This window comes from Homo sapiens, chromosome 1 (assembly GCF_000001405.40).
Source record: "Homo sapiens chromosome 1, GRCh38.p14 Primary Assembly".
In the NCBI taxonomy this organism is placed as follows: domain Eukaryota; kingdom Metazoa; phylum Chordata; class Mammalia; order Primates; family Hominidae; genus Homo; species Homo sapiens.
Genome location: NC_000001.11, coordinates 220,743,454 through 220,770,746, shown reverse-complemented (window position 1 = coordinate 220,770,746; position 27,293 = coordinate 220,743,454). Strand labels below are relative to the sequence as shown.

Genomic DNA, 27,293 nt, shown 5'->3' with positions numbered 1-27,293 from the left:
GGGTGGTCCCACATGACCAACAGCAGAGGCTGGGAGGGGCAGCTACCAATTGAATTCCCAAAGGCAGTAGCCTGGGCTGTGCTGGACTGCTTTTCAGCACACTTTGTCCATGCAGTGACTCACAGCCCTCCAGAGAACAGCGAGAGAAAGGTATGGGGGGTCATGGTCTCTGAGATCAATCCTGCCTTACCTCCACTCTGCCGTCTCTACTCCAACATCTGTATTTGAAGGGCTTGTCTCTTGGGTAGCATTGTAAAGTGAATGACCTCTCCTTACAAGGGATCGATAAGCGTGCGTTCACGTATCACACTCACTCGAGGGGAATACCGCGCACCACCGTCTCTGAAGACACACTTCCTCCTTGGTCTGAAATGTAACATATTTAGAAGTGGATGAGACCTGATAAACACAACTCAATGGCCAAGTCCTTGCCTCGAATTCAGTTCAACAAGGTCTCACACAAAGCCTTGCTCACTCAGGGGCAGGGATAAACTAGAAAAAGCATGGTGAAGGACATCTCGAGAAATGGACTTTAAGTGACTGTTAAGATTAAACGAGTTCACTTACAAAAAAGCTAGAACACAGCATGTGCAATATGAGTTTTTGTTTGTTTTGTTTTTGGTTTTGTTTTTGTTTTTTTGAGACAGAGTCTTGCTCTGTCGCCCAGGCTGGAGTGTAGTGGCGCGATCTCGGCTCACTGCAAGCTCCGCCTCCCGGGTTCACGCCATTCTCCTGCCTCAGCCTCCCGAGTAGCTGGGGCTACAGTCGCCCGCCATCACGCCCGCTTAATTTTTTTTTTTTTTTTTTTTTTTGTATTTTTAGTAGAGATGGAGTTTCACTGTGTTAGCCAGGATGGTCTCGATCTCCTAACCTTGTGATCTGACCGCCAAAAAAAAAAAGAAAAAGCCAATGCAGCGGTTCTATCAGACAGGGCGTTCTGAGAGACATTTGTGAAAAAGTGCCTTTACCGACCACACATACACAGAGAGAAAGAGAGAGAGAGAGAAGAAAGTGCCCAGGGAGTTAAACAACTTGAGGGCTGCAAAGAGCCTTTAAAGTCCCTTGGTAGAACCTGTTAACTTTCAGATCAGAAAATCATGCTCAGGGAGGTTAAGGCCAAGCTCACGATGATTTAAAGGCCACTCTGCTCTCCAGGCACATCCGCAACTCCTGCCAGTTACGACTTTGCTCCCCTGGAAAACCCTAGCCCAGTGGTTCCCACCCCTGGCTACACACTAGAAACCCCAGGGGAGCTTCAAAAGCTCCCTCTGCCCAAGCTGCACCTGAGATGGAGGCACCAGTGTTGTTTAAGGCTGTCCGCTGGCCCGATGTGCAGCCAGAGGGGGACCCACCGGCCCAGGCAGATCTCACTGCAGGTCTCCTGTTAATCCGCCTTCCGCTGGCCGCCCTAGCTGCGGGCTTTCCAGGGGTGTCTCGCTTACTCACTGGGTGTAGTGATAAGAAAGCTGTGTGAGGCTGTGCGGAAGGAACCTCGCAGAAGCATCTCCTCCTTCTCCTTGATGAGAAAGAGGCGAAAGTCCTGTAGTCCTTGGCTGCGCCATCTTTCACTCCCTCTTGCCCAACCCCTAAAAGCCCCTCTGGAAAATATTACAAATGACTCAGTTGTAATCAAAAAAGCAAATGTAGAAGGAGATCTCCTTAAGTAAAGGAGTTCTGTTGGCAAATTCTTCAGAAATGTGAATGTATTCCTACTCCATCCACTCCTGATGCCTATCCTCCTGTTTTAATCACTGGAGCTTTTCCTAATCAAGGCAAATCCATCCAAGACTCTTGCTGGAGTCCCCTAAAAATATACGCATGTCAGAAGCTCCCCAGATGAGGACATGGAACTTTTACCTTGAAAGGCATGCCACAAACGCCTGCAGGGAGGGGACACCTGCATTCCCCAGGCCCCTGCTTGGTTCTTTTCATTACGAAAGAAAAATGACTTTCAGATGCTTTCAGCTTGCTTCTAACAGAGATAATGAACATGAAATTCAGGCTAATCTTCCTTATGCCAAAGCTGATACCTGTTCTTCTTCTCCATTTTTTACTGAGCACAATTGTCCTGCTTCTTTCAGAGGGCAGCCCCTGACACCCATGACCCCCCAGCCCATCCACAGTGACTGGGGCCCTATACAGGTTTGCCAAATGACCTGAAAATGGCTTTAACAAGGTGGCAGAGTTGTGTAGTTGGCTGATATTCAGGGACTTTTGACGGCCAGCCACAGTGCAAGTCCTCACTTGGCCACACGCTGGCTATGCGACCTCGAGAGCAAGTTACTCAACTTCTCTGAGTCTCAGTTTCCTTATCTGAAAAACAAGGATCAAAACACTACCCGCCTCAATGGCTATCAGACATTTTCAGCCATGACCCACAGTGAAAACCACATTTTACACTGTTTCCTAATACTCTCCCATGTGTACACATAAGAGAGTTTTGCAAGACAATTCTTAACCCTTCTACATATAGTTTACTCTGATATCTTTTATTCCACCCTATACTTTCCTGTACTTCTTTTAAAAGTGTTAGTCAGGACTCACTACACTGATATTAGAACCCAATAATGGGTTGTGACCCACAGTCTGGAAAGGGAACTAGAATTAGATAATGCATGTAAAGGGTTTGGCACGGTGCCTGTAACGTAGTAAGTGTTCAATAGCAGTGAGTCGTGATTCTTGCTGCTATTTTTGTATATTGTTATCATTACCGCTACTTCAAGAAATCCCTGAAGCCTGGTAGAGACTGCTGTTCTTACACCAGAAAACGGACTTGTTATCTCAAATCCTAACCCACCCAAACTCAGTTTCTGGGGACTGAAAAGTCTAGTGATCATGATTTACAAAAACTGTGTTTCTCAACAGCTGGAAAGGATAGGACTGGGAGGACCCAATCCACACAGCCAGTAAGCAGTGAGGCTCAGAGTCCAACCACAGCTGTTCAGCTTCAAAATCTCCCTCTCTGGAAGTTTCCTGGAGAAACACTTCCTGAGTGAAAGATAACATACCAAGAGTTTTCTGCAAGCTTCTCCACAATTCTTTCATAATGTGGAGTGAGGACTGATACAAACAAGTTATTCCATTAAAAATATCAAGTTTATCTCATCAGGACAGTGAGCAAAGATCAGTAAACACTGACCCCACAATGGCCAACTACAGAGATAGGAAGCATTGGTCAATTTCATTATTTCTAAACTTCATTTTGCTGCATTCCCGGAACTCAAGCACACCACACTGACCCAAGGAAGCAGCCTTTTAAAAATCGTTTAATATTCTGAGCTACACGGACAAAGTACAAAGTACTTTAGGCCACAGACAGTAAATGTTACACAATACATTCTCCTATTACTCTGTGTTTTTGCAATAAATGATGGCCTGAATTTCATGCTGAGGTTTGCTAATTTTTAATGATTAATTGGCCTATTGAATATTCATTTTACATTAATATTTAAGAGAGTCCTACTCATTGAAAGAGTTACAGTTTTGTGATGGTACCAGGTAAACAGATTAATGCATTAGGCCTTTAACTACTGGGCTTCCTAATTTAAGGAAGAATAAATCAGCAACATTAGCGTCATTTAATAAGAAGGATTTTTTTTTAATGTGCGTGGCCAGAGGATTGTTCGAGAAAAATCAGTGTTCTACCTGATTTGCTACTTCTGTAAGCCCATCATAGCACAGGAATAAAATGACAAATGGACTTGGGAGCACAAATTCATTTAACAGTTTATTTTTTTTCACTTTTAATTAATTAATTTTTTTTTTTTTGTAGAGGTGGGGTTTCACCATGTTGCCCAAGGCTGGTCTCGAACTCCTGGACTCACACAACCTGCCCGCCTTGGCCTCCCAAAGTTCTAGGACATGCCTAGCCTTTTTTTTTTTTTTTGTACTTTTATTTTCAGTTTATTATTTAAAAAAAAAAAGAAGAAGAAGAAGAGACAACTCCACTCTCACTGCCCAAGAAAGCAGGATTAGGTTTACATTAGCCTTAGGTTCAGTTTGACAAGTTATAGGAGAGCAAAAATTATAGGTTGGCAAGGTACAGGAAAGCAAAAATGCTTCAGCCAGGGACAAGAGTGTCTTTTTTCTTATTTCCTTGGCTCAGGATTTTAAACTAAAATTAATATCAAAATAATCTGTTCTTTAGTGGAAACAAATCAGGAAACATTTTATTCCCTAAAAGAAAGTTTCTCAGAAAATAATGGAAGAATTACAGGATTCCTGTGGAAAAACTGTTGCTTCATGGATTAATTTCTACTCCATGAACTAATTTCCATTCCAATCTTTAGTAACATACTTCTTGAAACAGAGAATTTCATTTGCTGTTTGCCAGGCATTTAATGAATCTGATATTATGTACATCCTACTAGACAATGTGGGAAACTAGAACTGGGAGGGGGAGGTGGGTTTACTGGCAAGCCATTGAGGCTTGAGCCTCAGGCGCCTTATTTGCACAGAACCTTTCAAGGCCTTGAACCTAATTTTATTTTTGTTAATTTTATATATTTTTGTCAATAATTTTATTTTTTTCTTAAAGGGGCCCCCAAATTGTATAAATTTCAGGTCCCACCAAGTCTAGATTCATTCTTAGAAAAATCTAGTTCCTTCCCTCAAGAAACTAGTCTCCTGAGTACGTCGGGGGCCTCTTCCTCTCTGGCACTCTCCATTGCCCTCCCAGCCCTGACCCTGTATCATCTCTGACCCCCGTGGTCCCTGCACTCTCCTAGCTCAGTGCTTCTCCAGACACTGTGGGCATGAGATTCACCTGGAATGCTGCTGCCAGTGCAGAGATGCAGGCCTTGTCACAATGCTCATGTAGGTTTCAGGTAGGGCCTGCTAATCTGCACTTTAGAAAAAAGACTCTTAGCTAGGTGAGGTAGCTCATGACTATAATCCCAGCAGTTTGGGAAGCCAAGACAGGCAGATTGCTTGAGTCCAGGAGTTCAAGACCAGCCTGGGCAACATAGGGAGACCCTGTCTCTACAAAAAAATACAAAAATTAGCCAGGCATGATGGCATATGCCTGTAGTCCCAGCTAGTTGGGAAGTTGGGAGGCTAAGGTGGGAGGATCACCTGAGCTGGGGAGTTCGAGGCTGCAGTGAGCCGTGATTGCACCACTGTACTCCAGTCTGGGTGACACAGTGAGATCTTGTCTCAAAAAAGAAAAAAACAAAGACTCTCTAGTGACTGGGCCTGGCCTTGGTATTTCTGTCTCAGGCTTCCCTGCCTTTCAATGAGTGTTCAAGAGAGTTGCCAGAATAATATGTGCCTGGCACACTGTACAGGCATTCGGCAGATATTTATTGGAAGAATGCAAATCATAATTACTTCCTTGCTCAGAGTTATTACCAGCTCCTCAATATCCACAGTATAAAATCCAAACTCCTTGGTGTGGTGGCCTCCAGCCAGCTCCAGTGCAGCCTCCCTAACATTTCTCCTTTACCCCCATGCTCCTGTGATTCTAAAATGCTCCCAAGCACCCCTTTATTCATGGCCTCTTGTGCTTCTAGGCCTCCCAACTGCCTGTCACCTTTACCCATAAAGACCCTCCTCTGACCCTGGCCTGCACACAATCCACACAAGTATAGGGTGAACAGCATTGCTTCCGGGGACCTGGACCTGACCCCTCCCCATGCCCAGGCCTCCCTTCTCCAGGCAGATTTAGGTAGTTCTACTTCTACACATCTCTGGTATCTTCTAAGTGTGTACACTAAAGCACGTCTGACACTGGGCTGTCATTGTCTCCTGGCCATGCCCCTCATGTTGGAACATTCTGAAGAGCAGGATCCATATCTTTTCATCTGTATCTGGGCTCCTACAAACCATGCCTGACCTATAATGGATGATTGAATTTTAAAAACTAACAAAGGCACAGAGGAATTCAACTAGATAACAAATGACAAGATAACACCATCAAGTAGACAACTTCTGTATACATTGCTATTGCTCTTTTCTTTTCCTTTTTTTTTTTTAAATACACAGGTTCTCGCTCTGTCACCCAGACTGGAGTGCAGTGGCACAATCTCCGGCCCGGGGCTCAAGCCATCCTCCCACCTCAGGCTCCCAAGTAGCTGGGACTATAGGCACGCACCACCATACCTGGCTAATTATTATATTCTTTTAGTAGAGATGGGGTTTTGCCATGTTATCCAGGCTGGTCTCAAACTCCTAAGCTCAAGCAATCCTCCTGCTTCGGCCTCCCAAAGTGCTGGGACTATAGACATGAGCACCTACAGCACCTGGCAGCTATTTTTCAAATTATCAGATAATACGGAGTGCCTACATGTACGATGGTTTATACAAGGCTCAGTGCAAAGGTTTATCCTAAAGAACCATGTTTATCAACAAATTAGGGGCCGGGCACAGTGGCTCATGCCTGTAATCCAAGCACTTTGGGAGGCTGAAGCAGGTGGATCACCTGAGGTCAGGAGTTCAAGACTGGCCTGGCCAACATGGAGAAATCCCATCTCTACTAAAAGTACAAAAATTAGCCAAGGTGGTGACATGTGCCTGTAGTCCCAGCTCCTCTGGAGGCTAAGGCAGGAGAATCACACAAACCCAGGAGGTGGAGTTTGCAGCGAGCCGAGATCGTGCCACTGCACTCCAGCCTGGGTGACAGAGCGAGACTCTCTCTCAAAAAAAAAAAAAAATTAGGGCACATTTTACTCACACAAAAGGAAGTACGGTCATTCATTCAGGGGAGCAAAGAATTGAGAGGGTGTTTAAGAGCCTCTTCTCTCAGAGTTAACTATTTGGGATCTCTAAATTGGAATTGTCACCCCAGCTCTACAGATGCTGGAGTTACAAGTCTTGTGTTCTAATGCCAGTCACCATTTCTCTGCTAGGCAAAGTGTATAACACCTCTGAGTTTCATTTTCCTTATAAAAAGGAGACAGTAACACAAATTTCACAGGGTTATCGTAAAGATCAAATAAAGTAATTTATCTGAAATGATTATTTAGCTCAATGCCTAGCACCCAGTAAACACCCAATAAATGGTATTTGTCATTGTTACTTCCACTGCTCGGAAAGTTTAGCTCACCCCTGAGGCTTAATATGATGGCTAATCCTTCTTATCACCAAGCAATACCCAGCTATATATATATCACATACAGAGTTCAGGGTTTCTACTGGGTTCTGATGTAGTTTTCCCTTAAGACCACAAAGGTGTGTCCTTGAAAAGGGTGGAAATGTCTGGTGTCAATCCCATAGAAGAGCATGTGGGTGCCCTGGGAGAGAACTCAGGCCACAGCATGGTATGTCTCCGGGGCAGATTGCCTGTGTCCTCTTGGTCTGCACTTTGGGGCATGGGTCTTCTGAAAGTCTCAAATCTTTGAGAGCTCTGCTGAGTGATAGAGAAGTGGAAAATGGCTTTATCTTTCTCTTTATCTTCGCTTCCCTCAGTTATCTCTGAGCTATGATTACATATTCCAACCTCAGATTTGCTACAATTTCGAGTTTTGACTGTTTGCTTTGGGGCCCAAGCATTAACGGGTGAGAGCAACGCCCCCCGAGGCCAGCGTGTTGATGGCAGCAACAATGGGTGAACAACTCCGCAAGCAATGAGTGATGGCAGCAGCAATGAGTGAATGACTGGACCCTGGCGGATCTGAGTTGGCTCTGGCTAGAGCAGAGTTCCCTTAGCACCGCGAGCAGCACATCTGAGCATGATGCACAAAAGCAGTGGGTCGCTTACCTCCTCAAAAGCATCACAGCCGGTCACCACAATATTTGGCCTGAAATTCTCCATTTTCATTTTCTTCTCCATCCTGGTATTCAAATCTACCAGGGAGGCATCTGTCATGATCAGGAGCGGGCAGTAGTCTGGGTAGGCCACCTTGCCAAGAACACAGGATAGTCAGGCCCCACCACTCCACAAAATGGCCTAGACCAACTACAAAGCTAAGTAATGTCCAGAAGCAAAACCTCTTCAGTGCAGAAGAGGGGAGCAGTGTTCAGGAAGGAGAGAGATGTGAGTTTGGGCTTGCAGTGGCCAGGAGCTGGAGCAGTTCCTGCCCATACACAGGGACAGGGCTGCAGCCAGGGCCGGCTCTGGGCCAATGTCACTCACCAGGCTTCCTCTTCCTGGGTTCCCACTCCCACTCCAGCAGCGACCCCCTTCCCCCATCATCCTCAAACAGCGAGGACCTGCTGCCAATCAGCTATACTCCAGTAATAATTTCCTCAACAACACCATTCACTCACTAGGCATTTACTGAGCACCTACCAGGCACTGTTCTAGTGGGGAAACAGCAGTAAAGAAAGCAGATAAAAACCCCTGCCCTCAAGGAGCTTGTAGTTTAGGGGCTATGGAGAGAAATTCCCTGAGGTCCTTGTATTTTAAACCTTAGCTCATGGCAGAATCAGAGGCTTTGGTCTTTTGCACTGAGCCTAGTATAAACCATCGTACATGTCGGCACTCTGTATTATCTGATAATTTGAAAAATAGCTGCCAGGTGCTGTAGGTGCTCAGGGGACAGTTTTCCTTAGGGGGAGGCGCCTCGCCAGCACCTGAAATAAGCACATGTCACAGATTGTGAGGGGCGGGTCAGAACAAAGTCCGCTTCTATAATTCCAGGAAACTTGGATTTAGTCCCAAACAAACTTCTCACTTTTGTTTCTCCAGCCAGTTTTCTCTTGCATCTCCATCTACCTGGGAGTCACCCCTGGCTCCCCCCTCCACAATATCTCCCATATTCAATCCTCCATACACCCTAGAGATCCCACTTTTGAGACACCTCTCATATCCACCTTCTTTTCCATCCCCTGGTACCTCTGCCTAGGCTGTGCCCTCATTATCACTCACCAGGGCCATTATCATATTTTCTTAACTGAGGTCCCAAGAGAGGCTCTTTATCAACTGGGAAGGAAGCCAGAAAGAGAAGGGTGACTAGTAGCAGTGAAGGTAAACTCTCTGTAAGCTCACCTGGAAATTCTGATCAAGAGTGGGGAGAAGTTTTCTTGATGTTCTTCCCTTCATGTTTGTCTCAAATTGAACCAATCTATACGCTTCAGTTTTCAAGAAGTTGGTGAACCACTTAGCTGCCTCATTGCCACAGTCTCTGCCTTTAATGTCAAGGCCAAATATCCTGGAAAGGTCACAAAAGAACACCAGGTTACTTACTTATATCAATACACTGAGGGATGGTGTCAAAAATGAACAGCTGGACTGTTGGGACCTGACCATCCCAGAGGGCTGTTAAGTGGTCCCTGGGTCAAAGCTGGGCAGAAGTGCAAGAGAAAGGAGTAGAGTGTGCTCTGGGGAAGAGCTACCCAAACCCTAATGTATGTGCAAATCCTCCAGGATCTTGTTTGAATGCAGATTCTGGTTCAGTAGGTCTGGGTTAGAGTCTGAGATTCTGCATTCCCAACAAGCTTCTGTATGCCTAAGCTGCTGGTCCATGAACGTAAGGATTTAGGACACTTTCACAAGAGGAGAGGGGCTGCCCTGTGGCAGATGCACCCTGAGCTTAGAATCCAACAGACCTGGGTCAAATTGGAACTCGGCCATTCTCTAGTTCTGTGACCATAAGCAAATCATTTAACTCCTCTGACCTGTCTTCAGTTGTAAATTGGAAATAATTATATGGTACCTACCTACGTCACTTGGTGGGAACAGATAACTTTAGATAACACAGCGGCCCTCAAGGTTTTCTTGCTTAAATTCCCCTAATGGAGTTTTAAAAAGCTATGGACCCTTCACAGAACTATAAGTTGACAGGTAAACTTTTTCATCATAAGTTTAATTTGTTCTGAAAGACATCATTTCCATTGAATTCTAAACACTGACATTTAAAATAAAATGATTACATTATGCTTTTAAAAGTGTGTAACGGGATCTAAATGCCATGTTGGTTTGATATCCACCATTATCCATTTAAACATTTTTGTATTATTCCTCTTTTTATTCATGAACACATATGTATATTATTTTACTTATGTAATTTTATCCTAATGTATTTTTATGGCTATCGCTCACTTACTGTATTTCTTTTGAATCAATTAAATTTGTTTTGTTTCTTAAGCTTTCAAGTGTGAAGAAATGTTTTCAGGATTGAGTTATCATTACAATTATGATTTATATACAATTGATCATAACAAAATAGATATGCTATATATTTTTATAATTCATGAACTTAAAAAGTGAAATTTTATTTGAAATCAAATGCTTAATGAACCCCATAAAATATCCATAAAACTCTGAATGAATCTCACATATTGCTAGAATAAGACAAGGTTCAGTATCAATTTTCTTTCTTTTAAATAAGCCCTGAGGAATTTTTCACACAAACAAATAGATAGAAATGGGAGTTATAGTAATTTCACTTATTCCTTGAATCTCCAGGCAATATATTTCACATAGTGATTTGTCATCAAAAAGTATTTTTAATGATTTATCAGCAACAATTTCACTGGAGGCCCCTTCATTTTAATGTAAGACAAAGAGTTGGAACCACTGACTTGTACAACCATTTTACCCTGTCATTAACATCACCCTCTTTATCAACACCAGCATTTTTCATTGTTTGGGTCCCTGTATGTTTTTCCCTCCAAGGGCAATGCCCCTAGTAAGATGTGGGGTGGACAGACAAAAGCCTTTCCTCTGTACAAAGAAGAAATGTTTATGGTGAGACCGGAGAACTTGCTGATTGTAGATATAATTCACAGGATCTGGAAATTGATTCCCCTACCCTCATCTACCATGGGAAGGGCTTGCCCCTCCCCGTGGGAAGGCTCATACCAGTGTGAGGACTCCTGAGGCGATGCATGTGAAGGATTTCAATGTGGACACCTGAGGTGCTCCCAGTTAGATGAACCCCTGTGTACCCTGCAACTCACAATCCTGGTCTGAGGGTAGAGACTCCCAACCTCTCACCTCCTCTCCTATCTACTGTCAAATCTCAGTGCTGTTCCTTTCACATTTCTTGGGCCTTTTCCTTCCCTCTAAACCCCCTTCTCGAAGCCACTGTTTCACCTCTGATTAATTCTTGGCTCTACAGACATCTCATGATCCTCTCCTGGCCTTCTGCCTTTCCCCTAAAACTGATTCCATCCCACTGTTCAGCAGTTCCCTAAGTACATGCTCCTGGATGGAGCTCTTCCCTCATCCCCTCAGAACAGCACTTGTACATAAGTGCACACATATTACTCACAGTCTCCACCCACCCGGGAAAGCTTATGGGTGGCACTTTGAAAAGCAGAAAAGCCCCCAACAGGGCAATGGAATACTGATTAACCGGAGCCCCTTCCCCCCGATGGAAGGCATCCCTCCACCAGCCCTGTCTCCCATCCCTGCACTGGATGGTATCGCTCCCTCTGCCATGCCATCTTCTCCAATTCTTGCAGAATTTTCTGCAAAGTCCACTCTCTTCTACATTTTGACACAAAATGTCTCATCAGCAACATTCCATAGAAAAAACTGACCCTCACTCTGGGTTCAATAAAACTTCATTAGTAAGCAATCTCTTAACTCACTAATCAAAAGTAACTCACTAAAAATTATGTAAGAGGACATAAAAACTTGAATAGACTCTTACAAAGAAAATCCAGATACTTTTACTGGCAAGTTCTATCAATAATTAAAGAATAAATAATACCAATCTTACACAGCAAACAAAAAAAGTGTTTTTAAGACTTGCTATGTAAAAGTGGAAGAAAAGAGTAAATGTTTAGGACTAAATCTAACAAAACATGTAAAATCACATTACAGATAAAATTATAAAACTTTATTAAAGAGATAAGACACAAACAAGTGAAGAAAAATAATATTCATAGATAAGGTGGATTAATACAATAAAGATAATAGCTATTTAAGACCTAATATCCAGTTAAGTGCTTACTGTATACCAGGTCCTCTTGCAAGTGCTTTATTTAATACACACACACACACACCCAGACACACACACACACACACATATTTTCACATCAATTTTCTGTAAATTGAACCACAAATTCAATATAGGGTTGAAGTCATGTCTTACTTCCCCCTACTTTAAAACATTAGCTTCACCTTTTAAGACAATAATCAGGCCGTGCACGGTGGCTGATGCCTGTAATCCCAGCACTTTGGGAGGCCAAGGCAGGTGGATACTTTGAGGTCAGGAGTTCGAGAACAACCTGGCCAACATGGTGAAACCCCACCTCTACTAAAATACAAAAATTAGCCGGGTGTGGTGGTGCATGCCTGTAGTCCCAGCTACTCAGGAGGCTGAGGCAGGAGAATCACTTGAGCCTGGGAGATGGAGGTTGCAGTGAGCTGAGATCGTGCCATCGCACTCTAGCCCGGGCAACAAGAGCGAAACTCCATCTCAAAAAAAAAAAAAGGTAATAATTATTCATAAATACTTGTGATAATCAAGAAGCCATACTGGTCTATAATTAGTATAAAAAAACTTAACACCACACAAGGTGAACAGGGAAAGCTGATTCAAAACACTAACAGTGAAAGTTTAAAAAAAATAAGTGGCCGGGCGTGGTGGCTCATGCCTGTAATCCCTGCACTTTGGGAAGCCGAGGCGGGTGGATCACAAGGTCAGGAGATCGAGACCATGGTAGCCAACATGGTGAAATCCCGTCTCTGCTAAAAATACAAAAATTAGCTGGGCGTGGTGGCGTGCGCCTGTAGTCCCAGCTACTCAGGAGGCTGAGGCAGGAGAATCACTTGAACCCAGGAGGCAGAGGTTACAGCGAGTTGAGATCGCGCCACTGCACTCCAGCCCGGGTGACAGAGCGAGACTCCATCTCAAAAATAATAATAATAATAAAATAAAATAAGTGTAGAATAATATAAAATTCATAACACTTCAGCCTTGTCCAAATGTCTGTGAAGGGACTTTTCTTTTTACTAACTTGAGGTTGTTGGTTTATGTTATTTGATTCTGGGCTCTGGTGGGCTGGCTGTGGTAATCACTCTGTCGCTTACCATCTGTTAGGGGCTAAATGTTTGTGTCTCCCCAGAATTCCTTTGTTGACACCCTCACCCCCAATGTGGGGCCTATGGGAGGTAATTAGGGTTAGATGAGGTGGAGCCCTCATGCTGGGATTGGCACCCTTATAAGAGGAAGAAACACAAGATTGCTTTCTCTCTTCATGCAGGCACCAGGGAAGGTCATGTGAGGACATAACGAGAAGTGGCCATCTACAGCCCTGAAAAGGGACCTCACCAATCTACCAGCACCTCGATCTTAGACTTCCCATCCTCCCAAACTATGAGAAATAAATGTCAGTTGTTTAAGCCACCCAGACTATGGTATTTTGTCACAGCAGCTGGCACTAGCTAAACACACTATCTATGTTATTTCTTCAGTTTTTAGCAGTTCCCTTGGCAACGAATCCATTAAAAATAGCTTATAAATACAGGCTGAACTAGTTACAGCATGTCTAACCAGCTAGAGAGGGCAGTGCGCTGACTACACCTCTGCATCAATCCAAATGCACAGCTCTCAATCATTTTCACCAAACTGCCAGGGTTCCAGGCTCTCTATTCCCACCTCATCCAGATCTACAATTCATGCATGGAACAGAATTACATAAGAAGAGGCTTCAGGCTGAGCACGGTGGCTCATGCCTGCAATCCCAGAAGTCTGGGAGGCCAAGGCAGGTGGATCACCTGAGGTCAGGAGTTCGAAACCAGCCTGGCCAACATGGTGAAACCCCATTTCTACTAAAAATACAAAATTAGCTGGGCGTCATGGCACATGCCTCTAATCCCAGCTACTCAGGAGGCTGGGGCAGGAGAATCGCTTGAACCTGGGAGGTGGAGGTTGCAGTGAGCCAAGATCGTGCCATTGCACTCCAGGCTGGGCAACAAGAGCAAAACTCCGTCTCAAAAAATAAATAAATAAAAAAGAATAGGCTGCAATTGCTGTCTTTTTCAGACCCAGGCAACTCACCTGCAAGGTCTTCCTCTTTCCCTCTTTCCATCCAGGAAGGTGAGTGTCCCCCTAGATTTCTGCCTATTTAGCTGGTAAAGAGCCTTGGGGGAAAAACTTGCTCACTGTTGGCAACACAGTGAGTCTACAGGGCAACACCTATATTACTCATGTGACACATGTCAGCTACGTATTTACCCATCACCTTCACATGTCTTCCAATTAAGCCGAGATGGCTACACACTTCCTCTTCAATGAACTGATGGGCTCAAAACCTGTCATTTATGGAAAAGCTTTTCTTCTCCCTACACAAACACGTTAAAGGCAAAAGCCTTAGGAGGGAAGTGGGTTCAAATCCCAGCTCTGTGTTTTCGTGGCAGTGATCTAAGACGTGGTTTCCTCGTTTGTAAAGTGGAATTAATGACCCCCTCATGGGCTTGCTAAGATAATTACCTGAAATACTGAATTCAGTGAATTATTGCTTCAGACTTTTGAAAATTGGGAACCATGAGTTGTGGATTTCAGCTTAGACGCTTTGCTTGAAAAAGCGTAAGATGAGAGTTCACGGAGTAATCTGAGGCTCCCCTCTGAGCCCTGGGACAACACCAACTTCCACACACTTAACAAGCTCAGTTGGTGACAAGGGATCCAGTTCATCCCATGACAAGCATCTAAGTCTTCTTAATGTGGAAGGACAAGACCCCAGCAAACCACGGAACTTGACAACCCAACAGAAGTCCCATAGGCCAAAAGGAAGCCAAGGCCTGAGGTGTGTCTTTGGCCAGAAGTGGAAATCCCTTACACCCAAGGAATATGTCTTCATCTCAACCACACACTTCAGAGGCCGCAGAGTCAACTTGAAAAGCTCTGGAAGCTCCAGCATCCTTCTCACCCAGCCCTGAGATACAGCTGCTAAAGTCTCCACTAACTCCCTTGTCTGCCTGGTTGGAGAGTTGACAATTCTGAATGAAGATTTGAATGAAAGGAGAAAAGCCCTAAAGATGAGCACATTGTACCACCTTTATACTTGTAGTAATCCTGCTTTTAATTTTCTGCATGTTTTACGCTTTGACATCTTGGAGCCTTGTTGACACTGAAGAAACTGCTTCTTCCAGGGCTGACCAATTCCTAGAAATAATAGACTGATGACCTGCAAGTGTGCCTGTAATAGGAACACCAACCCATCCAGAGTCTGCACTCCCAGTCACCTCCTTTATTTGGTGCTTACATGCCGGGCCACTAGTCCCATGCCCTAGTCAACCCTAGAGCCAAGTACCAGACAACCTGTGACCCAGAGCCTGCTGAAATTGTTCAAACTAGCCAGCCCTAAGCCTGCCGCCCCTGCCTTGCTTCTCCTTTCCTGTGGAAACCACAATAAAAGCCCTTGCCCACATGTTCCCCCTGCTCCCTCTGCCTCCTGACCCACCCTGGTACTCCCCCACTTGGCCTTGCGTGGCGTAGCGTGCCTCCAGTTTCTAGAGAATCTGTTGGTATAACATCTTCTTTTTTCAGGACAGTCATTTCTATGTCTGCGTGTCTAACCATACCTGATTAAAACAAATCCTAGGTACCCTGAAAACAATACCCTGCATCATCCACTCATGCCCAATCCCAACTCAAACTGCACTTCTCTTAAATGTTTCCTTTACCAATGTCATCCTCTACTGTAGAAACTATAGCAAGACAGAATGCAAGGAGGAGCCTGAAGAGAAACCAAGCCTGTTGCAGTTCTGTGGATGCCCCCAAGCGGAACACCTGCAGTTGTGGAGTTTGTTTGAGGAAGGCTGCTTGCTAGGCAAAACCAGCTGGTCCATGTCTGGAGCCCTGAAGATCAGGCAGTTATTCTCATAAATGATGGAGATGAGCACGAGGCGAGGCTCCTGTCGGGCAGTGACCATGTGTCCATCTTCCTTAATCACCAGCCAAAACCTGCAGAGAAACAAACCAGGGCACACTCAGAAAATCCTCTTCCACCTCCCAACAGCTTCCCTCCAGCTTTCTACTTCCTCAGAACTCTCCACCCACCCCGTCTTGGGACCTAACAATCATTTTCCAGACAATTATCCAGGTCTGGCCAAATGATTTGGGTCTAAAAGTTGGTGACCCCAGAAAGAGCTTATTTGGCGGAAACAGTTCTGGGAGAGTGTCTGGCTGATGTATGGCAATCTCCAGTTTCAAAAACAAGAACATGAGCCTGGCTCAGAGACTCTCCCTCACTGCTTAGTCAACCCTGCTGCTTGTCTGGGGGTTCTGCTTTGGTTAGAAGCTTCTGCAGGTCTGTTAAATATGTCTCTGTGGCCCTGGGAGAAGTAAAATAGCTTTCAGGTCCTTTTGTTGTAGAACAAGATGAGGTTGGCCAAGTGAGTTTGAGTCTGAGACAAAGGTCTTGCAATGTTGCTGCCTCCAAGCGGAACCAGGCCAGCCTCTGCTCTGTTTAACTTGCCGCGGCATGCGGGGGTCCTACATCAGGAAACCTCCCAAACAGCCTTTCCTCTTCATGCACACATTCTGACATAGAGAACAAAGACACACAGAAGTCACATGTTAGATAAGAATCCCACTTATTTCCTAGAGAGCCCACTGTACTGGACTTGGTTTTCTTACTTTGTATTTCTATGGGATGAGCTGAAGAGTGAGGGGAAGCTGGCCAGGCCCAGTTGGTTAGGCTTTTACCTACAGCCTAGCATATAGGTTGGGGCTGTACCACACAAAAGACTGTGTTGCCAAAAAGAAAAAAATCTTCCACTCCTAGGGAAAATAAATTTCAATATCACAGTTTAGTTTCATTTTGTTTTGTTTCGTTTAGTTGTTTTGTTTCATTTCGTTTGAGACAGAGTCTCACTCTGTCAGCCAGGCTGGAGTGCAGTGGTACAGTCTAGCTCACTGCAACCTCCACCTCCTTGGTTCAAGTGATTCTCTTGCCTTAGCCTCCCGGGTAGCTGGGATTACAGGTGTGTACCACCACGCCCAGCTAATTTTTGTACTTTTAGTAGAGATGGGGTTTCGCTATGTTGGCTGGGCTGGTCTTGAACTCATGGCCTCAAGTGACCTGCCGCCTCAGCCTCCCAAAGTACTGGGATTATAGGCATGAGCCACTGTGCCTAGCCCAATATCACTATTTTAGAAAGAAGATAGAATCTGCAGACTAGCGGGTGAGGAAAATGCAGGCACTGATAAGTAAAAATTGTCTGAAAGCCAGAGGCTTTCCAAATGTGAGGAGGATAAAAAGCACAGCCCCTTCCAGAAGCAGGGGCGGCTCCTCCCAGGGAGACATTCCAAAATATGACCAGAGCCATCAGGGAAAGGCTGAGGAGACCTCAGGAGGACATCCAATATCCCAGCACAGGGAGCTCCGTCTCTGCCCTGTCCTGACCCTGACAGATAGTCTTACATCTGCAACCTCCTTATCCGTAAAGTCCTTTCCAGGTGCTGGCTAAACTGTCCCTTCCCCGCAACCACACCAGAAGACAATGGCTGGCAGCCTGTGCTCTGCTAACTGGCATTATGATGGTGTGGCAGTGTAAAGGCATTCCAGTAACTGTCTTGACTACCTGCTTCCAAAAAGCTGGTGACACTGGGTAGCAGCAAGTCCCCACCCCACTGAGGAGACCACCTTTTTCTTTCTTTCTTTTTTTTTTCTTTTTTTCTGAGACGGAGTCTCACTCTGTCACCCAGGCTGGAGTGCAGTGGCACGATCTCGGCTAACTGCAAGCTCCACCTCCTGGGTTCACACCATTCTCCTGCCTCAGCCTCCCATGTAGCTGGGACTACAGGCACCCGCCACCATGCCCGGCTAATTTTTTGTATTTTTTTTTTTTTTTTTTTAGTAGAGACAGGGTTTCACCGTGTTAGCCAGGATGGTCTCGATCTCCTGATCTCATGATCTGCCCACCTCGGCCTCCCAAAGTGTTGGGATTACAGGCGTGAGCCACCGTGCCCAGCCCACCATTTCCTAAGTGTATATATGCATATGTGTATTATTTATTCATTTATATATATTTATACTTAATTAATATCAAGAGAGAGGGAGACAGGGTCTCACTCTATCACCCAGGCTCTGGAGTACAGCGGCGTGATCTTAGCTCATGGCAGCCTTGAACTGCTGGGCTCAAGCGATCCTCCTGCCTCAGTCTCCTGAGTAGCTGGGACTACAGGCACACACCACCACGCCCAACTGATCTTTTTATTTTTTGTAGAGATGGGGTCCCACTGTGGTCTGGACCTCCTGGCTGGTCTGGAACTCCTGGCTCAATTAATCCTCCCTCCTTGGCCTCCCAAAGTGCTGAGATTACAGATGTGAGCCATCCTGCCTGGTCAAAGATGTCTTTAGATCCCACAGTTCTCTGGCTCACTCATCCTGGGGCTGGGTTCTGTAAATCTGAGGATGTCTGCCCAGAGAATGGGGCTACAGTGAAATAGGCAGGCATCCACTGACTTAGATGCCTCACAGGGCTGGGCCCTATTCCCTATTTCCAGCCTTGTCCCTTGGTGCACATTTCTTTGGTTAGCCTCACTAAAGCCTTCACCCTTAACTTCCAACATGCCCCTTCCCCAGACAAGACTCCCTTTGAGATCTGCACACAACCAGAGCCATGTCCAAACAGGAGTGGCAAACCTGTTTGCACATTATTTCTGACATTATTTCTCCATGGGCTGAATCTTCTCATCTCCCATTCATCCCTTATTAATGTCGCCCTTCACCGTGGCTCACAGCCTGGCCTGTGGCTCCAGACTGTTGTATAATAATACAGGTGTTAACTGCTGAGGTTAACAGTGGGAAGTTGTCACTAGAGGTTTCCCACTCATCACTGTCACTGAAAAACTGGCAACTTACAGGGAGTCCAATTTTGGAACAGGACAAATACAGCAATCACAGGTTAAAAGGTTACCATTTGTAACATACCCCAACCATCTCATTTCCCTGTCAACCTGGGCAATATTATTTTTCACCTCTTGTGCACAAAATGATGCCCAGTGAATGAATAACTAGTTCTATTCTGCCAGATCTGAAAGAAGAGATAAGTCTGGAGCATAGATTTCATCATAACCAAGTTACCCCAACCTAGTCTGCAACACTAAAAGCCAGCACCTTGAATTCACAGGTAAAACATGAGTATGTGGTAGAGGGATCAGTGTAGAAGCCTGGAGCCCCGATTCCCCAAAAGAGCTATAGAGCCCCGAACAACCAACAGCAACGGGTAAGTGGAGCCCAAAACAACAGAAAAAAATATCATTTCTCAATTACAAACTGGCCTGGGGAGCAGGAAGGACTGAAAAGTGAGGGAAAGCAGGAACTCTACTACTGAGTGTGGGAGGAGAAAAACAGCAGGAATTGGGCAGGGAATAACACCCTGGACAATAATAAACTTAAGGGATTCCTTTCTCCAACAGTTCATCATTTGTGCAGAAGAAATAAAGGACTGGCTTCAGTAAGGGTTTAGAGAGATAAAACTGATCAACTCACATATGGCTGCTAAGGAGAGCAGAGATTTCCAAGGTCAGGGAGGACAAGCACGCCCTCCCAGCAACTGCACCAGGCACCGAATGCCAGCATTCTGCCAGGTGGACTTTAAACACTCAATGCTTAGGGTGCTCAAGCCAAGTGTTCACAAGTATACTAAGAGCTTTGAACAAAATACCTTTAGAAATTTGAGACCCAGAGCACTTCCAGAGGAAAATCCCAGCTCCTTGGAACAGTTAGTTCCAAAGACACAGGTTCAGAATGGAATTCATTAAATGAGGCCTTTCCCTGAACTCTAGGAACATTTGTAGTAGTGTTATTAAATTGTCAGGTGGAGAAGACAGCGGCTATCAAACAGAGTTCTCTCCAGCAAGCCTGCTTTCAAATTGTTAATTATGCTTTGATAAATAAAATGTAGTTAAAATGGGGCTTTAGAGACCATGAAGTTCAACCTCATTCTTTTGCAAATGAGACAACTTTGTAGAAGTTCGCCCAAAGTCTCCTGATCCTCAGTGCAATCCTTATAGTTTTATATCATGCACTGGTTTCATACAAACAGCATAAGTTCTGTACTCACACAGATCTGAGTTCACATCCCCACAGCACACACTGGTTTTCTGGCCTTGGATGGGATACTCCTTCATTCTGATACTGTTTCCTTATTTGCAAAATGGTGATAATACTATCTAGCCCACAAGATTGTTATGAGGTTTAAATATGCTAATCTATGCGACAGGATTTAGCTCAGTGTCTGCTGCATTTTAACACTGAATAACATTAATTTCATTGCCTTTCCCTCTACCCCAGGCTTCACATCACCCCACCCCATCCTAAGCGTTTATTGTTTAAAACAAGGGAAAGGTAATACAGTTGTATTTATTTTAGGATGCCAGTGGGAGCAAAAAGCACAGGCAAAGGACACGTATTTTCTTTCCATGGTTGCAGTAGTCATGGCAAAGCAGTGACAAAGAGAAGTGGGAAAGAAACCGTTCTTCAGGTGATCAGAGGAAACGCAGATTAGAACTGGAAACTGTCTGTGAAACCAACCCTTCAAGCGAGGAAGGAAGTAGTGCAACCTAGCCTGCAACACTAATTTTCTCTGGACATGCATCGTGAGAATTTGGTTCTCCCAGTTTTTTGGAAGGTGTCCAGTCCCACACAGCCTGAAGTCTTTCCAGTAATAGGAAGGCTTTTCTTATCCTTCATATTTGAATAAGCTCTAAACATCCTCTTCTTCTTCATGGTCTCGGATAAAATCCTTTAATTATAGCATCAAAATCACCAGGGGGAGATTTAAACATTCTACACGAGTTGGCCCCACTCTTGGTGATTCTGCTTCCGTAGTCCTGGGATGGGAATCTCAGGAAGTTATAGTTGAAAAAGCTCTCCAGGATAAGAAATCTGGGGTAAGGGTGGGAGAATGAAAATCCTCCCATGATTCATATGGTCTGTGTACACAACACTTCTCTAAGACTCTCTGAAGTTTTCCAACACCATGGAAGTCCACATTTCTTTAAGAGGGCAGCAGTCTTCAGAAAACAGTGCATCCGCGTGTCCTGGAGTGAACACAGGGATGCAGGTGGCTCTCTGCTAGAGGAATCCTTGAATGATCAACTTGCAAACCTCCCTCCCCTCGGACACAGGCCCACAGCTAAACCATCTCGGCCAGATAAGAAGACATCTTGGCTGGGCACAGTGGCTCACACCTGTAATCCCAGCACTTTAGGAGGCCGAGGCTGGTGGATTCCCTGAGGTCAGGAGTTTGAGACCAGCCTGGTCAACAGAGTGAAACCCCGTTTCTACTAAAAATACAAAAATTAGCCGGGCGTGGTGGCGCACACCTGTAATCTCAGCTACTTGGGAGGCTGAGGCAGGAGAATTGCTTGAACTTGGGAGATGGAGGTTGCAGTGAGCTGAGATAGTGCCACTGCACTCCAGCCTGAGCTACGAAGTGAGATTCTGTCTCAAAAAAAAAAAAAAAAAAAAAGAAGAAGGCATCTTAATCCTAAGTATGAAATGTCTATGTGTCAGGCCCAAAAGTCCCAAAGTTCCAGGCTGTGAACAACTCTGCCTATGGGAGAAGGGGGGACACTATTCCCTTAATGGCAAGTATCACCTCTGCCCCAGAGTCCCCATGCCACTTGCTCATCCTTCATCAAAGTGTATCAGGCCTCCAGGGCACCCCCAGGATTGGAGAAATGTGAGGAACAAGGCCCAGCAAGGCCTAAGCCAATGTCCTTGAACAACACTTGGTTTCTTTCTTGCTGCTTTCTAGTGCCAATAGCTTTATTTTTCTACTTTGGTATACTAGGATAGAATCACAAACTTTAGAGCTAAGGAGACTTGGAGATACAGGTCAGACCCCCTCCTGTTACAGAGGAGGAATCTCTCGTCTAGGGAAGGGCAAGGGATTGCCCCTACCTACTTTACCAAAAATAAACCTGGCATGAACTTGGCCTTCCCAGATAAACGACCAACGGCCCAACAGTCAGCCCAGAAACTCAGGTGGCAAACCTCTATAGTCCTTCCCAGATAGATCGGGCCCCACCTGCCCCCCCGCTCCTCATCCCAGGCAGGCTCCGCGCTGCCCCGCGCCCGCGCTGTGCTGTACCTGTCCCGCAGGTTGCCGCTGCGCAGCCCCATGGCCGTGCACTCAGCCTCGCTCACCGGCACCCCTTTGCAGGATTTCACCGGGTAGATCCAGAGCTTCGCCACGGTGCCCACCTGCTGCAGCCGCCGGCGCCGCCTGGGCCATGCGCGGCGCCAGGCGACAGTCCCCAGGGCCACGGCGGCCAGTCCTAGCGCGGCGACCCCGAGCCACCTGGGCCAGGGCCGGGCTGGGAGGCCGAGGCGGGCCAGCGCGGAGGAGCTGGAAGCGCCCATGGCAGAGCGAGGGCGGGCGCGGACCGGCGCACAGACCCGGCAGCGACCGGAGACCGGGAGGACGAGGAGGCCCTTAAGGATCCGGGCAGGCGAGAGGAGTCAAAGTTGACCCAACTACGGACCCTCTCACACTTTCACCGCCGAGACGGCAGAGCAGTTCCGCGGAGAGCGGGAATGCCTTAATGCGGTGACCAAGCCTGCGCGGTAATGGAGGAAGACAGGCAGACAGCGGCGGGGGTACCCTGGGCGCCGTGGGAGCGACGCCGCCCAAAGCAAGCGAGCTAATGGGGCGGCCTCTGGGGTGGTCAGTGTCTCCTCCCTCTTCCCCGCCCCTACAACACGACAGTTACCCATGCAACATGACCTTCAGCGCCAGCACTCTGCCACCCCCTTCTCTGCTAATACTGCACGCTTAGTCGCTCGACAAGATCACCGCAGAACGTGAAGGCGGGTTGCCCAACGGAGGATTTACAAACATTTGGGAACGACTTTTTCTGGCAGGTCGCTGTGAGAACTGCAGGACTTTCTGCACACAAAGACACAGTCTAAACCTCTGCACTCAAAGACGAGGAACTCTAGCGTGGCTTATAGGAGCATGACTCAAGGTCCCCCACCCTCCGCTGCCGCCTAACCTCGACCCCAGTAAAATGTCTTCCCGAGAAAGCTCAAGGCAGCCAGGAGAATTCCCCGTTTATTCTAGCCAACACCCGATGGTAAAGCCCCTGACCTCCCTTTTTTAGGATATTTTCTTAAAAGGGCTTACAACTGTGAATCCTTTCTCTGTTGCTTTGAGATGTATATGTATCGCCTACACCTCAGAAGTGTCTTTCTCAAGGACCTGAAAGCCATTGCTCTGAAATGCAGTCATGGGGAGGATAGGCCTCTGTCCCCCAGTCTCTGTGGGAGGATAGAATCCCAGCTTCATAACGGCCAGCTCCAGGCACAGCTGCCCGTCATTAATACTGACCGCCCCTTCATGATTTTTCACTTGATCCCCTGCTAGCTTCCCGGCCCTATTCTCTCCTTCACCCTTTAAAACGCCCATTCTGCTATGCACAAATGAGAATGATCAGCTTTTTCTCCTACTGTAAGTAGTTACTGAGTAAAATCTGTTTTCATGGTTTAACTAATGTCTGGCTTTGTTGATCTTTAACACCTCCATTCAAGCAAGCTATTGGGTTAACAGTGGATTTTCTCAGACAAATTAAGGTTTGAAGTCTTTCAAGTTTTTTGTTGTTGTTCTGTTTTTCAAAAGTTTGTCCCTTAAACTGTGGCACAGTTCTAGGAAAGTTTAAGGAGGCCAACCAGTGGGCCACCCCCCAAATCTGGGCTGGCCACCTCCAGAGAAAGGGGCCCGTTCTGGAGTGTGGGAAGAGACTCCGGGAAGGATGGAGAACCAGAGGAGCCAGGTTCCCTTTGGCTGTTCCTTGTGAAAAGTGAAAGACAAAACAGGGCCTGAATCTCTCCCCACCCAGGAAAAAACCTCAGGCCAGCAGAATTAGTCCCTCAATCCCCATACATTTACATCATGCTTGGCAGCTGCGACTTATGGATTTGTTTTTTAAGCATGGTGTGGTGAATGTGATGTGTGTACACTTGTAGCTGACCCCCTTTGCCTCTCCCAACTCCTGAGGAGGGTCAGAGTCCTCCCTGCCCACAAGCCTGCTGTCAGAGTGAGGGGCTTACAAAGCCATCGCCTCGCTATACGTGAGCTCCCAGACAGGGCAAATGTCTTATTGATTAATCATCTCTTTCTTTCACCACATAGATATTGATCATTCACCAGGCTTCGTCCTAGATTGGCACTGGGGATTTAAAGTTTAGAAGAAGCTGCCCTTCCATCCAGTTCACTGACTCCCCAGAAGACTGACACCTCCCCTGCAAGTCTAGAGGATAATGTCAGAGGAGAAGCAAGGTCAAGATGCAGAGGATGCAGAGGCAAAAGAGCAGCTGAATCTCAGGACAGTGCTGTTTTCAGAGGGCGGAGCTTTGGAGCTGAGACTTGAACATGAGGAGGGGCTTGGAGATGGGTAAAGGAGAGGATTCTGGGCAAAAGGAGCAGCACGTGCAATAGCCTGAAAAAATGGAAGGAACAAGAGAGTGTGGCATGTTTGGGCAACCACCAGCAATCCAGCTGTATTAGGATGTACCTGTGCATGCAGCAGGTGGCGGGAGTTGAGGCAGGACAGGTGGGCAGAGGTCAGATCAACAGGCATCTTATCTCTACTTAATGTGGAGACACCTCAGAATTCTGAACAACAGTCTGGCATGATTAGACTTGGGTGCTAGGAAGGCCATTCTGGCTGCTCTGAGAAAGAGTAACACCAAAGATGGTTAGATGAGTTGCAAATGCCCTAGTTCAGGCTGATGTAATTCCAAATCAAGGAAAAATAACAGTGGGGCTGGAGATAGACATGTGGTTAGGAGAGATGGTCAGGGGACAGAATTAACAAGAGATAGTGATGACAGAACACAGAGCCAGAGGGAGAGGAAGAGCCCACGGGGCCTCCTGGCTCTGTGGCATAAAAGTCTGGGGTGGGATGGGGGTACCATTCTCAGAGATTAAGAATTCAAGAGAAGCTGGGCACAGTGGCTCACACCTGTAATCCCAGCACTTTGGGAGGCCGAGGTGGGCGGATCAGGAGGTCAGGATATCGAGACCATCCTGGCTCACATAGTGAAACCCCGTCTCTACTAAAAATACAAAAAATTAGCCAGGCATGGTGGTGGGCATCTGTAGTCCCAGCTACTTGGGAGGCTGAGGCAGGAGAATGGTGTGAACCCAGGAGGCGGAGCTTTCAGTGAGCCGAGATCGCGCCACTGCACTCCAGCCTGGGCGACAGAGAGAGACTCCGTCTCAAAAAAAAAAAAAAGAGAATTCAAGAGAAGAAGATAGTCTGGGAAAAAAGATGATGAGCCTATTGTGAACAGCGAGTGAGAGGTATCTTTGAGACATCAAAGAAGAAATAGTTACCTAGATAGATGGGTAACTTGACCTTTCCATGCTTCCACCTCCTCATGTGCAAAATGATGGGGATAGACATCAAGTGAGGAACTTTGCCATGGTGAGTGCTGCCAAGTCTTTGCTGTCTTCACCAGCCATTATCTATCATAGCCTGCCCTGTTTAAGCTTCACCAATGCTGGGGTTGGGGGTGCCTTCAGGGGAGCAGGGAAATTCCTTATCAGTAATGTGTACATTTGCAGCCCAGCATCTTCATTTGTAGAATTAGTGAGGGGTGATGAGAGGCTGTATTAGTCCATTCTCACACTGCTATAATGAAATACCTGAAGCTGGGTCATTTATCAAGAAAAAATGTTTAATTGGCTCATAGTTCTGCAGTCTGTACAGGAAGAACGGCGGCTTCTGCTTCTGGGAGACCTCAGGGAGCTTTTACTCATGGTGGAAGACAAAGCAGCAGTGGATGTCTTACATGATAGGAGCAGGACCCAGAGAGAGGGGGGAGGTTCCACATGCTTTTAAACAGCCAGATCTCATGAGAACTCACTCTCAGGATGATAGCACCAAGGGGAATGGTATTAAACCATGAGAAACCAGCCCCATGATCCAATCACCTCCCAGCAGGCCTTAACTCCAACACTGAGGGTTGCAATTGAACATGAGATTTGGTTGGGGACACAGATCCAAACCATATCAAAGGTTGAGGATTCATGAGTCTAATTGGCTGTTTGCATATCTTTTTTCCCTTCTGATTTGAATCAACTTATCTATTTTTTTGTTAATTTATAAGATCCTTTTATAAATTAAGAAAATTACCCTTTTATCATGCCTTCCCAAGTCATAACTTTTTCCCCTAGTTTGTCATATTTTGGCAACTTCTGCTTAGGAAAAATCTTTCTAGTGAATAAGACATCATTGTCTGCCTAGAGGCACTGACATAGATAAAGAAAACTCTGTCAATTAAAATATCAACCAAGAAACCAGAGAAAAAAAGAAGCCTAAAACCCAAATATTACCTTGCTTAGCCAGGTCCTCTTCAGGAAGGTGAGTACCCAGCAGCCAATGGAAGTATTCATCAGGGCCATGTAGCAGTTTGTCTTTCCTGGGGAGATGAGCACATCAGATTATCAGGCAGTGAGGATAGTCAACCTTCAACCCATATAACAAATCTCATGACGCAGGCTAGGCTAAAATATTGTAACAACCTCAACATCTCAATGCTCTAACAAAATAAAAGTTTATTTCTCACTTACATCCCAGTTTGATGCAGGCCAAACATTAATCAAAGGTCCCCTTAGGCCAGGCCCAGTGGCACACACCTGTAATCCTAGTGCTTTGGGCGACTGAGGCAGGAGGATCACTTGAGCCCAAGAGTTCAAGACCAGCCTGGGCAACATAATGAGACCCTGTTTCTACAAAAAATTTAAAACAACAGAAAAAGAGAGAATGAGGCAGGCATGGTGGTGCATGCTTGTAATACTAGCTACTTTGGACACTGAGGCAGAAGAGCCGCTTAAACTCAGGAGTTTGAATGGATATTAAGCATATATATATAGTGGAAGAAGAACCATGGCTAGGAAGTCAAAATGCCCTAGTGACTATGAAAATCCAGCCACATGACCAGGGCTGAAAGCACCAGATTAGAAACTCAAGCTTGATAGTCAGCACCTTCAGCTTTGAAAGGAAGATGGCATTGGATCTCTCACCTACTTTCCCTTGAACACATAAAACCAAGTGGCAGGGACAGAGCAAGATGTCTGATTAGCAGCCTCTATAGATCATCCTCCATGCAGAGACACCAATTTAACAACTATCTATACTACAAAGTACCTTTATAAGAACCAAAAATCAGGTGAGCAATCAAAGTACCTGGTTTTAACTTCGTATCACTGAAAGGGGCACTGAAGAGGGTAGGAAAGATAGTCTTGAATTGCCAGTACCACCCTCCCCAGTCTCCTGGCAGTGGCCAAGAGAGAGTCTGTGCTCTTGGGGGAGGAAGAGCACAGCGATTGTGGAACTTTGCATTGGAACTCAGTGCTTTCCTATCACAGCAGTAAGCAATATGGGCAGAACTCAGCTGACACCCATGGAAGGAGCACTTAGACCAGCCCCAACCAG

General features: G+C 45.9%; 1 protein-coding gene and 1 long non-coding RNA gene across 7 annotated transcripts in view, besides 1 other annotated feature; one reads left to right on the top strand and one right to left on the bottom strand.

The window, feature by feature from the left end:
- Nucleotides 1-22,425, bottom strand: part of MTARC2 (mitochondrial amidoxime reducing component 2) — a 36,494-nt gene extending 14,069 nt beyond the window's left edge. For 3 of the 6 annotated variants that reach the window (NM_001317338.2, NM_017898.5, NM_001331042.2), the window contains exons 1-4: nucleotides 21,944-22,425; nucleotides 15,627-15,800; nucleotides 8,927-9,089; nucleotides 7,697-7,837 (exon numbers count right to left, since the gene is read on the bottom strand). In NM_001317338.2, the coding sequence (NP_001304267.1) occupies nucleotides 7,697-7,837; nucleotides 8,927-9,089; nucleotides 15,627-15,800; nucleotides 21,944-22,215 (750 nt within the window). In that variant the 5' untranslated portion in view covers nucleotides 22,216-22,425. The other 3 variants (XR_007061333.1, XM_011509684.2, XM_047423617.1) reach the window with 3 other exon arrangements.
- Nucleotides 1,326-1,620: an enhancer, noted in NCBI's record as "tiled region #12019; K562 Activating DNase matched - State 4:PromP". NCBI's record gives its function as "activates a minimal TATA promoter and a strong SV40 promoter by Sharpr-MPRA in K562 cells {active_cell/tissue: K562}" and the evidence as "EXISTENCE:reporter gene assay evidence [ECO:0000049][PMID:27701403]".
- LOC124904516 (uncharacterized) lies at nucleotides 21,932-26,427 on the top strand. The gene is made up of 2 exons (XR_007066884.1): nucleotides 21,932-22,928; nucleotides 23,984-26,427. It is a non-coding gene; the product is annotated as an uncharacterized LOC124904516 (long non-coding RNA).
- Nucleotides 26,428-27,293: the final 866 nt, after the last annotated feature.